Genomic DNA, 13,224 nt, shown 5'->3' with positions numbered 1-13,224 from the left:
AAAGAATACTGCACACAGTATGAGTTTGGTTGGAACGTGCACCATACAGCTAGGGGAATATTTGATGGACAGAGCTAGGGAACTGGGTAGATTGCAGAGGCCCCTGAATGCCAGGTCACTGTTTTGATTTCACAGAGAGTAAGAAAAAGAGAAGTGACATTTATTGAGTTCCTACTATATGTTAAGAACTATGTTAGATGGTTAATATAATCATGTTTAATCCTCAAATCAGTACTGTACAGTAATTTCTATCTCCATGTTACACATGAGGGAATTGTAACCTAATAACTTGGTGCTAATTATAGGATAGATTGAGTAAGGGAGAGACCTGGCATGAGAAGAAGTTATTGGTGGTGGGGTTACTGAAGAGAAAGAAATCTTGATAATTGTAGAGGGATTGGAAAGAAGGTGATGTGATGAAGAGAAACTGCAAAAGTAGAATCTAAAGGTCTTGGAAATTGATTGGATTTGAAGATTGAGAGAAAAAAGGAGTTAAAAATATTTGCTGGTGACTTATGAAAAGTAGCAGATACAGATTTCCTATCTCCCCTCTCCTGGGGAAAAAAAAATAGCAGATAAAGAAAAACTTCCTCAGAAAGGTGAGGAGTTCAATTTTGGGTACATTTAGGGAGATACGTTTATGAGAGCTTGAAAGTTGGGCACGGTAGTAGCTAAGGTGATATCCTGAAGCTACAAATGAAAATTGGGTCTCATTTACATGAATATGATCTTTGATACTGCATCAGCAGACAAGATTTCAAGGAGCAGCTTTGTAGTGAGAAGAAAGGGCAAGGATGTTATTCAAGAAATGCCCATTGGGCATTACAGGTGGTTCACACCTGTAATCCCAGCACTTTGGGAGGCCGAGGCTGGCGGATCACTTGAGCTCATGAGTTAAAGACCAGCCTGGGCAACATGATGAAATCCTATCTGTACAAAAAATATAAAAAATTAGCCGAGCATGGTGGTGTGCCTCTGATCCCAGCTACTGGGGAGACTGAGGTGGGAGGGTCACTTGAGCCTAGAAGGCGGAGGTTACAGTGAGCTGAAATTGTGCCACTGTACTCCAGCCTGGGTGACAGAGCGAGACAGAGTCTCAAAAAAAGAAAAAAGAAAAGAAAAAAGACATGCTCATCTTTCTTTTTTTTTTTTTGCTGTTGTTGCGGAGGTGGGGCTCAGTGACAGGGAGACGCAGATCCAAGACAGATCAGGGAGGTAGGAAGGGAGAAGCAAGATACTGCCAGTGTCATTGAAGCCAAGGGACAACAGGGAAAAAGTTTTCTGGTAGAGGCCAAGTTGTACAAGACTTCAGAGAATGGCAGGAAACTATAGTCTCTGTGTGGTTCTCAAGGGCCAGTGACCCTATGGCATTTGGAAAGGGGCGGGGGTGGTTTTGGCAGTAGCGATGTGAGGCGTGCTGCCTTAGTTTAGCAAAGCACAGGGGAGGCCCCGACGGCCCCATCTCAGATGTCCACCTCCTGCCCTCTTCTCTAATCCTCCTGCCTGCTGCTCTTTCTCCTTAGTGCTTATCATCATCTTACATACTATGTCTTTTCCTTATTTATCTTGTTTATTGTCTGTCTCTAGATTGTTAGGTCAGGAGGGCAAAGATACTTATCTGATTGGTTTGCTGCTATATGCAGTGCCTAGAACAGTGCCCTACATTTAGGAAGGACCCCAAGGAATGGTTCCTGAATAAATGTATGGCAATTATAGTGATTTGAATAACTGACCTTTCTCCTTCAATATACTGTAAGCTTCTTAAATGGAACTGAATCATCTTTGTAACCCTATGTATTGTAACTGATATATGAAGTTTTATTTATAGCAGCATCAGAAGGGAAAAACCAAGGATTTGGGACTCAACTGGTGTGAGTTTAAATTTCTTCTGTTCTTACTAATTTGGCCCCAATTAAACTACCAGACCTCTCTCTGAGCCCTATTTTCTTCAGCTGTAAAGTGGACTAAACTAGTACCTCTGTCATAGGGCTGTTGAGGATTAGAAGATGACGCCTATCAGAGTGGCTGGCACATTGTTTGTGCCCAGTAAATAACTGGTGTTTTGCAGTCTTTCTACTCTGTAACCTTGAGTAATTTACTTCACTTCACTGTTTTTTCATCTCTAAAAGGGGAGGATGAAACCAATCTCATGAGATTTGGAGGAACCAATGAGACAGTAGGCACAGGTGCCCTCTGTTTTTGTATTGTGATTGAGAGCACAGACTCTGGAACCAGACTGCATGAATTCCAATCCTAACCCATTTACTTTAGCTTTACTTGACTTTTCTGTGCCACAGTTTCCTCATGTGTAAATTGGGAGACATAACAGTACCAGCTCCATGGTACTCTGAAAAAAATGGATGTGAATATTAATAAAAAGCTTAGACCAATATTTGGCATATGGTAAGCACTAAAAGTGTTTGATTTAAAAAATAATAAAATAGTATGCCTTTATTGCTTTTTTCTTTCTCTTCAGTCTGTCAAATGGTATAAAGAATGGGGCACCTTTACAATGAAGTCGGCCATGTTTATGTTGGAAAATATAATGAAACAACAAAAACAATACTACTGCTTCTTCATGGTTTGACCTGACTGGGTAAGGCAGCTGTGGTCCCAAATCTTCCATGCAGCAGCACTGTAAAATCTGTCCTTTAGTCCCTGTTCTTGTCAAGATTCACTTACTACTAGCAATGGCAGCCTGGTTGAGAGCTTGTCTCTGAAAAATGTTTTTGTCACTTGCAAATCTGCCTCCATTTCCTTGCCTCCCGTTCTGTCAGCTGGTCTCTAGGAATGGTTAGGAATGTAGTTTGAGTAGAAACCTGGGAGGAAGCAGCAAAATGAGAGGGACAGGTGGTGAGTGGCTGGCCAATCTGGAAACCTTCCCCTCTTGCTAGGGAAGGTTTTCTGTAGTAGCAGTAACAAAACTATAAGAACATATCCTTAAATGTGTCTCTCAGTTCGTTAATTCTGTCAAGGGTAAAAGGTTTCTGTATGTAAAGAACCACAGAGCTTATTACATCACTGAGGACTTGGCTGAATCTTTATTCACATCCAAAACAGACTTAGGAAGGAAAGGTAGCAGCTTCAAGTCAGCAGATTCAGCTTCCATTCATGTAGCAAGCTGCTGTTGGAAAAGCTGTTGTGTGTAGATCTTCTTTCCATTAGCAGAGGTTCTACTGGATCTTCTTTGTGTGTGATTCATCGTTATGCCTAATCTGCCCCCGACTCTCACCTTGGTGCTGGGGTGGCAAGCATGCTTCAATCTCTGGTGCCAGTTCCTATTGATTATAGTGATTGTGTGGAGTGCTGTGTTGAGGAGAATTGAGAGGCCACATACAGGCTTAAAAGTGATTTAATTGGCAATGTCTGCTGTGTGAGGGGAGAGGAGGTAACCACAGCATATGTGTTGTGTATGTGCCGAACGTGATAGATTCCACGATAGGGCTCACCCTTGAGAGATTCAAAGTCACATTTTGTGTCTGTGTATTTTTGTCTTTGAATTGGTATGTACATATTACTGTATTACACAGTAAAATATAAATAAACTGGGAATTATCGGTTAGCTTGGGTTATATAGAATTACCTATGTATGCTTTTCATGGCTTGCTTAAAGCGTGGATCTAAATTATTATTCTTTCATTTCTGAAATAAAATTACCTATACTTTTCTACACTTTTTGTGAGTTTCTCTTGTTTAGTTGATACATGATTCTGATCTCCTGTTTTTTAAGTTTGGCAAAAAATACTTTTAAATTCTTGGGTAATTTCACTTACCAAACTACTGACAAATTAACATGAGTTGCTTGAAACCTTGGGCACACAACAGGTGGTTGTGACAGACTCGGGGGTTCCAATCATTGTAGAACAGACCAGAGATCTCTTTCCTTAAGGAATGGTCATGTGTCTGTTGCCACTTGGCTTCTCTCCTTATGGGTCAGAGGTAATCCTCAGTTTAACCATTGAGGTATAAAAGTATTTTTTAAATTTTATTTTGTTTTCCTTCTTGTGAATCAAAGTCTTTCCTAATTTGGCAGCTGACAAAGAATACTCTTTCATTGAGTTAGAATGTTGAAAGTATAAGCAAAAATTTGAGAGGCACTTTTTACATTTGCTAAGTAAAGAAATATTTATATTAGACTTTTCAAAAAAGTATGATAAAATATACATAAAATTGACCCTTTTAACCATTCTTAAATGTATAGTTCTGTGGCATTAAGTGTATTCACACTGTTATACAGCTATCAACAACATCCATCTTCACAATTTTTTCATCTTCCTTTACCCGTTAAACACTCTACCCATTAAACTCTTAACTCCCCATTCCTACCTGCCCCCACCCCCGCCCGCCCCTGGTAACCACCATTCTAATTGCTGTAGCTACTTAAAGATTTGACTACCTCATGTAAGAGGAATCATACAATCTTTGTCTTTTTGTGACTGGCTTATTTCACTTAGCATAATCTTCAAGGTTCGTTTATGTTGTAGCTGGTGTTAAAATTTCTTTTTCATGGCTGAATAATACTGTATTGTGTACCACATTTTGTTTATTCGTCTGTCAATGGACACTTGAGTTGCTTTCACCTTTTGGCTATTGTGAATAATGCGGCTATGAACATGTGTTCTTACATCTATTCAAGTCCCTGCTTTCAGTTCTTTTGGATACATACCCAGAAGTGGAATTGCAGGATCATGTTTTTTGAAAAATTTTTGTTTTCCACAGTGGCTGTGCCATTTTACATGCCATCAGTAATGCACAAGGGTTCTAGTTTTTCTGCATCCTCACCAACACTTATTATTTTCTATATTTTTGATAGTAGCGATCCTTATGGGTGTGAGGTAGTATCTTATTGTGCTTCTTATTTGCATTTCCCTAATGATTAGTGATGTTGAGCATATTTCCATGTGCTTATTTGCCCATTTGTGTGTCGTCTTTGGAGAAATGTGTATTCAAGTCCTTTGCCAGTTTTTAAATCAGATTCCTTGTTTTTTGCTATTGAGTTGTAGGAGTTCTTCATATATTCTGGATGTCAATCCCTTATCAAATATACGGTTTGCAGTTTTTTTGCCTGTCCATGGGTTGCCTTTTCACTGTGTTGATAGTGCCTTTTGATGCCCGAAAATTTTTAATTTTGATGAAATCCAAGTTATTTTTCTTTTATTGCCCATGCTTTTGGTATCATATATAAGAAATACCAAATCCTGTGTCATGAAGTTTTTCCCCTGTGTTTTCTTCTAAGTATTGTTTAACTTTTTCTCTCTTACATTTAGATCTTGTAATCATTTTGAGTTAATTTTTGTATGCGTAAGGTAAGGCTCCAGCATTATTCTTTTTCATGAGGATATCCAATTTTCCCAATACTATTTGTTGAAAAGACTATCCTTTCCCCATTGAATGGTCTTGGTGCCCTTGTCAAAAATCATTTGACCATATATGTGAGAGGTTTTTTTGTTTTGTTTTGTTTTGTTTTTTTCTGGGCGGTATTTGACATTTTAAGGTTAAGTTCAGAGTTTCATCATTTCTCAGTGATATTGCACACTTCCTAACTATTGTCCCTAATTCAAGTATCATTTTTGATACATTTCTACTCTGGCATTCTGATTATGTTTTCTAGGTTTTGCCTGCTCTTCTATTTTCCCTCTTTGATTATGAGTCCCTGGAGGGCAGGGATTTTGTTCTGGAGACCTAGTGCCTTATGCGTCATTGGTACTGAATATGTGTTTGTTGGATGAAATTAACTTAGAGCTAAAAAAAGAAAGAACTAGAAGACATCAAGTTAGGTATAAAAAGTACTTTTTCATTATTATAAACTATTACTATGGCTTATGAGCCTTTAAGGAAATATGTCTTTTTTCTGCTAATGGTATTTTCCCTCTTTTCCCATGCTTGCCACTGTGACTGCAGTTATCACCCTCTTCCTTACAAGGATAAATAATCTTCACAAAAATTTGAGAGGAAGACAAGAATAAGTAGAAAACAGAAGAAAGGAAAGGAAAGGTGAAAGAAATAAACCTCATTCAAAAGCATTTAACAGTACACTTGAAGTTGAGTCAGAACAGGCTGAAGGTGCTAAGAAGCAGTGATATGCTGTGAGAGATGCAGTCTTGCAGACAAAACTTAAAACACATGTTCCCTAGCACCTTTTGTCACAAGTGTCTATTGTGCCTGTTGAAATTTGGAATAGATGAATAATTAATTATTTGCCTCAGAATATAACATCTCTACAAAGAGTAGCCTTTTGTCTTCGACAATTCTATTTGTATGGTCAAATCTGCGAATAAATGAAAACATTAATTAGTCTAATCTTCATCAAAGTAGGCTGTCCAAAAAAAGACATAAAAACCTTAATACCAATGACCTGTGTAATACTTGATGCATTGAGGAGCCAGGTTTCTTCAGGGCCCTAACGTATGTGATTGTCACTTTCTTTTGACTCTATTTGGGAAAAGTTAATACATAGGAGAACCAGAGAATGGTAGAGTCAGAAGAGCAAATCTGGTTAACCCACCAGAGTTAAGGATGGGAAGAAGTTATGTAGGGCCATTAAGCCATCATGGTCAGAGCATATGTTGTACCCTGAAAGTTCCATTCCCTCTAACGTTTTATTTTGTTTTATTTTTTAAAAATAGATACAGTGTCTCACTATGTTGCCCAGGCTGGTCTTGAACTCCTGGGCTCGAGCGATCCTCTGACCTCAGCCTCCCAAAATGCTGGGATTACAGGCGTTAGCCACTGCAGCCAGCCACTAACTACCACTACTTAAGTAGTATGATCTTCTCTCTGCTTTCAGTTACTTATTGACTTAATAACAGTTTGGGAGATTCTCCTTACTTAGTACGTAAATGATTCTAAAGCTAGGCACATTCAGCCCTCCATGTTTGCAGGTTTCACATCTTTGAATTCAACTAACCATGGATCAAAAATATTTTTAAAAACCAATAAAAATAGTACAAATTTTAAAAACACAATATAACAATTATTTACATAGCACCTTGTATAGGCATTATAAGTAATCTATAAATGATTTAAAGTCTGTGTGTAGGTTATAAGCAAATATCATTTTATATCAGGAACTTGAGCATCTGAGGATTTGAGTATCCATGGGAGGTCCTGGAACCAATACCCTGTGGATATAGGGAATGACAGTACTGGAAAAGTCTAACCAGAGACAATGGTTATCCAAGTCTGAGAATTTGAAACGGATGACTTTGAGATTCCCAGGCCTAGATGGCTCTCACATTCTTTTTAGCCCCTTTTAAAGTTCTAGTTGTTCATTAAAACTGTCAGAGACTTATTTGGGAGTAATACTGATCTCAAAGAGCTGGATTAATACTGAATCAAATTCTTGGGATCTTTCTCTGAGCCTTTGGCATTTTTGGAAGCCCAAGGTTTATAAGGTATAACCTGGATAGACCATTAGGGTTCTCATTAACTCTGGTTAACAGATGACTTAAGAATTTCAGTTTTAACCTAGTGATACTCCACTGACTTCAAGGAGTAAATACATTTTTAAAGGCGACTTACTTTAGAGTGGTTTACAGTGTGCTAATTAGGAAGAATTTAACTCAGTCATTTCAAGCCTCTGAAATCCTTGGATGAAGTACAAATGCTGAGATGGAAATGTAGTATGCTATTTGTATATTATTCCATTTCATGAAGTGGTAACTTGGCAGAGTCGTATTTAGAAGTGATTGCACTCTATAGTCCTTCTCCTCAGCCCTCTTTTGTGTGGGTATAATCTACTGCAGTAGTATCATAGACATTTATGCACTGCTGTTTGCATAAGCTTTTTATTGGAAATAACCCAACAAAATAGCAGTCCCTGCTAGCTTAGCACAGTTGGGCCTTTTCTAAGGCTCATTTTCCTACACATCAAGAAAAAAAACTCTCTAGTTAATGTTAGTGGGATGATACCCACAAGCAGGAGATTCAAAGATGGCCCTTTTCTTTATCCCTGGCTCACCTGAGGAAGGAGGTCAGAGGCCCAAGTGACTTAATTCTATGCAGATCTATGCCTAATGGAAACAATAAATTCAAATGGGCAGTATTACTTTTTCCCTTACTATCTTACTATTTATGAAATGTATTTCTCACTGCATTTAAAAATGTATTTAACATATAAATTATTTCATGATATTTTATCAGGTTTTAAAAATCTGATATTTAGCTGTAGTATGGAATTACAATGCTAATGGGTTTACAAATTAATATTACAAATGACTGAAAAGTTCACACTCTGCAACTTGTTAAACATGTCACCTTCAGAGCTTATCTCATTTTTAATTAATAAATATGTGGTCATAGTGTGTAAAGAAGAAATCTTTATAGATTAAAGATTTGTCACCTTTTGGAACAGTGGACTCTGTTTTTTAACATTTGTATTATAGAAATTTAGAATAGTATAGTAAACTTCCATGTACCCTTCATACCCAGCTTCAGAAGTTATATAAACATTTTTGCCTTCTTTTTGAAATGGGGTCTCGCCGATGCCCAGGCTGGAGTGCAGTGGCACAATCTCAGCTCACTGCATCCTCTGCCTCCTGGGCTCAAATGATCCTCTTGCCTCAGCCTCCTGAACAGCTGGGACCACAGGCGTGCCACCACGCTCGGCTGACTTTTTTTTTTTTTTTTTTTTTTTTTTTTTGAGACAGGGTCTCACTCTGTCAACCAGGCTGGAGTGTAGTGGCACAATCATGGCTCACTGCAGACCTTGGCCTTCCAGGTTCAGATGATCCTCCCACCTCAGCCTCCTGAGTAGCTGGAGCTACAAGTGTGTGCCACCACACCTGCCTAATTTTTGTATTTTTTTGTAGAGATGGGTTTCACCATGTTGCCCAGGCTGGTCTCAAACTCCTGAGCTCAAGTGATCCACCTGCCTCTGCCTCCCAAAGTGCTGGGATTACAGGGCATGAGCCACCGTGCCTGGTCTTTGCCATGTTTTTAAATGATGAAAACGACATTACTAAAAGTTTGGAAATTAGGATGAAAATGACCTCTGGTCTCACCCAGTTTAACTCTCATCATCATTTTTTGGTCTTCTTCTTCTTCTTCTTCTTCTTTTTTTTTTTTTTTTGGAGGCAGATTCTCTCTCTGTTGCCTAGGCTGGAGTGCAATGTTCTGATCTCGGCTCACTGCAACCTCTGCCTCCCAGGTTCAAGCGATTCTCCTGCCTTAGCCTCCGAGTAGCTGGGACTACAGGCACACACCACCACGCCCATCTAATTTTTCATATTTTTAGTTGAGGCAGAGTTTCACCATGTTAGCCAGGCTGGTCTCAAACTCCTGACCTCAGGTGATCTGCCCGCCTCGGCCTCCCAAAGTGCTGGGATTACAGACATGAGCCACTGCACCCGGCCTACAGTTTTGATATACAGATACTGTTTCTTCTTTTTGCTGAACATGATATCAAACTAAGAGCTAATGGTGGCTACCATCAATTGATGTCTTCCTATGCTATGCACTGGGCCAGTTGCTTTACATATAATTCATAGACTCTTCACAATAACAATACAGTAGTATAAACATCCTCTCTACCCCAGAGACACACATTTATAGATAAGGAACCTAAGACAGGGAGGTTAAGTAACTTGCTCAGGCACTGCATATCTGGCATATGTATTCGGGCAAAAGTCTAACTCTGAGTGCATGCTCTTTCCTCCCTCTAAAGTGGCCTCTTCAAAAGCATTTTTTCATATTGCAACGTAATCACCTTTTTAAGGAAAAAGAAATATCAGTATGTAAATTTTGACCGTGTATCATATAGAAGCAGCACTAGGACAGATGCTGCTGTGGGTTAGAGGGATAAAAGGTATGGTGTCTGCTCTTCAATGTCAGTGCTCTAATGCTGAGGAGCCTGCCCCATCGGGTACACTAACAAAGAAAATGCATGGTTAGCTCAGGCCCACCCTGGTTATCTTTCTTTCTTAGAGCCAGTTGTGCCATGTAACATAAACTAATCATAGAGGTAAAAACATCTGTCATATTTACAGTCCTAGGAAATGTGCAGGACATGTCCATCCGGGGGGTGGAGAATCTTGCAGAACCACGTCAGAATTCTGTTCATCACAAGCTCCCAATTGGAAACAACTTAAATGTCTACCAATAGGAGAATGGATAAACTGTGGTATATTCATACAATATCCTAAGCAGTGAAAAGGGACAAATTGTTACTATACAGTCACCCTCTGTATTGGTGGGTTCTGCACACTAGATTCGGCCAACCTCAGAAAATACTCGGGAGAAAAAAATTTTGTCTGTACTGAACATGTGCAGACTTTTTTCCCCTGTCATTATTCCCGAAACAATACAGTATAACAACTATTTGCATAGCACTTACATTTTATTAGGTATCATAAGTAATCTAGAGATGATTTCGTGTATATGAGAGGATATGCGTAGATTATATGCAGATTCTATACCTTTTATATCCAGGACTTGAGCATCCATGGATTTTGGTATCCAGGGGGAGCTCCTGGAAGCAATCCCCCAAGACCATGCAGTAATATGGATGCGTCTCGAAAGCTTGGTACTGAAAGGAGCCAGGACATAGAGTACTTACTGTATGATTTCATTTATTTAAAGTTCTAGACAAAGCAAAACTAATCTGTGGTAACAGAAAATCAGAGTATCGTGGTTGTTGGCAGGGATGAGGAGATGTGGAGTTTGCCTGAGAACAGGCACAAGAGAACTTTGCAGAGTGATGGAAGTGTTCTACATTTTGATAGGAGCCTGGATTACAGAGATGCTTTCATTTGTCTCAACTATTGAACTTTACTCTTCTCTTTAGATCTGTATATGGCACTGAATGTAAATTGTACCTCAATTTAAAAATGAAAACATTACTCTATTGAATCCTTGTTTTACTTCTCACCAGACTCTTGGATTAAGAAATGAACCACCATTATATACAACCACCATCATAAAATGTTAAAGCTAAAAACAACTTGACAAATTATCTAGTCTAATTCCCTTGTAAACACTACTGCCTTGGTGAAGAAAAAAGTTTAAAATTGCTAATGATAAAATCTGCTGTTGCTATCTTCTGCACTCAGGAGGAGAGTTAGGCAATTTTACCAATTCGTGTATGCCAGCAGAAAATATGAGAGAGGGACAGATTTGCTAACAGCAATACATCTTGAAGTGTAAGCACAGAATCTGGATCAAGACATTTTACTTAGATTTGTTTGGCAGAAGGCATTATCTTAGCTGCGATTGATCTGGTCAGGGAATGCACAGCATTTTGCTGCTGCCCATGATCTGGCTGAGAAATAATTTGTAAAAGCGCCGTTGTAGTTAATAAAGGACACATGGTGTTAATGTTAGCGTGTCTGTGACCTCACGCTCTCTCTATGGAAGTGATCTATAAGATTGCCAAAGGTTTCATGACCTTGTGAGCAGAAAAAGAACACATTTGGGTAGACGGATTTCACAAACCACCCCCTGCAGTTTTTTGCTAGTCTTTTAAAACTGCAGTCATTGCATTGATTTTATATGTTGCCTTGGCTGATTATTGATTTTAGTCATTGCATTGCATTGCATTGATTGTATATGTTGCCTTGGCTGATTATTGATTTTAGATTTTAAGTCCATAATGAAAATATTTAGGTGGTGGTAAAAATCATTATAACTTTTAAAGGTTCTTTAGCAATTAAAACATTATCTTAAAAATTCTGAATTGTGCTTTTTTGTGTTTTCATTATGAGGTGTTGGCATAGGCTGGTATTTTAAATTTTTTATGTTTATTTTCTTCATCTCTGAAATTACTTTATTTCCTAATTGAATTTCTTTGCTCAGGTCTTTATGGAAACTTATGTTCCCTGACACCTCACTAATCATTTCAGGCTCTGTTAGTTGTTAGTGTTGTCTTCCAGAGTGGCCATGGTTCCCTTCAGTGACTTAAAGAGAATTAGTAAACACTCATTCTATCCTATTTATTTCTATGTTGAGTGGTTAATTAGAGTAAACTAGGAGTTTTGGAATTGGAGTTGTTAAATTCTTTGAGTTCTGAGAACTTAGAGAATTTTTTGTATAGATAACTTTTATATGATAATAATCCCTTCTGGTATCTGTAATAATTCTTGGTTTTTCTGTATTAAAGAATATAAGTTTGGCTTGGTTTACTTATGAATAATGCAGTTTATGTAAAATGATTTTGTGAAATGAAAACTCTCTGTCTTGATCTGGTATTAAAATAATCCATGAAGTATCTACACACAAAAGAAAATTAATGTATGATTCCACTTATATGAGGTATCTACAGTACTCAAACTCATAGAAACAGAAAGTAGAGTGGTGGTTGCCAGGGGCTAGGGGAGGAGGAAATAGGAGTTGTTAAATGGGTGTAGAGTTTCGGTTTTGCAAGATGAAAAAGTTCAGGAGATCTGTTGCATAACAGTATGAATGTGCTTAACCCTATTGAACTGTACACTTACAAATGGTTAAGATGATAAATTTTGTGTTATGTATATTTTACCACAGTTAAAAGTAAAATATATATATTAAAAATATGTTTTGCATTTATGAGATGAGGAAGCCAGTTACAACCAAGAAATGTAAAATATAGTTTAAATTTCTGTTGACTTCAGATTAACAGAATCTGTCATTCTTTTAGTCTCCTCGTGTACAGCATTCTTCACTTTGCACATTGCACTTGAGCGTAGTTCCTTACACCATCTTTTTCCCCACTTTCAACTACCCAGCACTCTCACATTTAAACTTCTTCCTCAAATTGCTTGCTTCATGGATTAAGAACAATTTTTAATGTGAAACAAACCATAACCAAAGATAAAGTAGGAATATAATGTGATCAGCTGCTTTCTTTTGATCTGGTGCTTCTACTTGTTACTAAGGACATTTAAAAAAAACATGGAGCAGCCTCTGTGTGTCAGGTACTGTGCTGGTGTTTCCAGATATGTGTTTTCAGAGTTGATTATTTATCAGAAATGGACAAAGGTAACCAGCCTTAAAGGAACTTCTGATTATTATTTTTTAAGATGCTTTGGCCATGGGAATATTTTTCTTCTTGGGACAAATTATAAATTACTTAATAAGGATATATTCTTAACAAGACTACATTTTGATGTTAAAAAGTATGTTTACATGTGTTTTACTAATACAGGGAATTAATTCTCAGTATGTGGATAGCTATAATGTCTCCAAAGTGTTCATTATGCCAGATTTGTCAGATTTATATCATTGAGGGCAAAGCTCAAGAGAGTATATATTTGC

At 38.0% G+C, this 13,224-nt stretch overlaps 1 protein-coding gene across 41 annotated transcripts in view; it reads left to right on the top strand.

The window, feature by feature from the left end:
• Positions 1 to 13,224, top strand: part of NCOA2 (nuclear receptor coactivator 2) — a 346,665-nt gene that overhangs the window by 197,413 nt on the left and 136,028 nt on the right. For 5 of the 41 annotated variants that reach the window (XM_047421233.1, XM_047421249.1, XM_047421241.1 and 2 more), the window contains one exon: positions 2,477 to 2,596. The exons of the other annotated variants lie outside the window; for them this stretch is intronic. The gene's annotated coding sequence lies outside the window, so the exon portion shown is untranslated. The remainder of the gene's footprint in view (positions 1 to 2,476; positions 2,597 to 13,224) is intronic. 41 annotated transcript variants of the gene reach the window in all.

This window comes from Homo sapiens, chromosome 8, assembly GCF_000001405.40.
Source record: "Homo sapiens chromosome 8, GRCh38.p14 Primary Assembly".
Lineage (NCBI taxonomy): Eukaryota > Metazoa > Chordata > Mammalia > Primates > Hominidae > Homo > Homo sapiens.
This window is presented reverse-complemented; position numbering and strand designations above follow the sequence as displayed.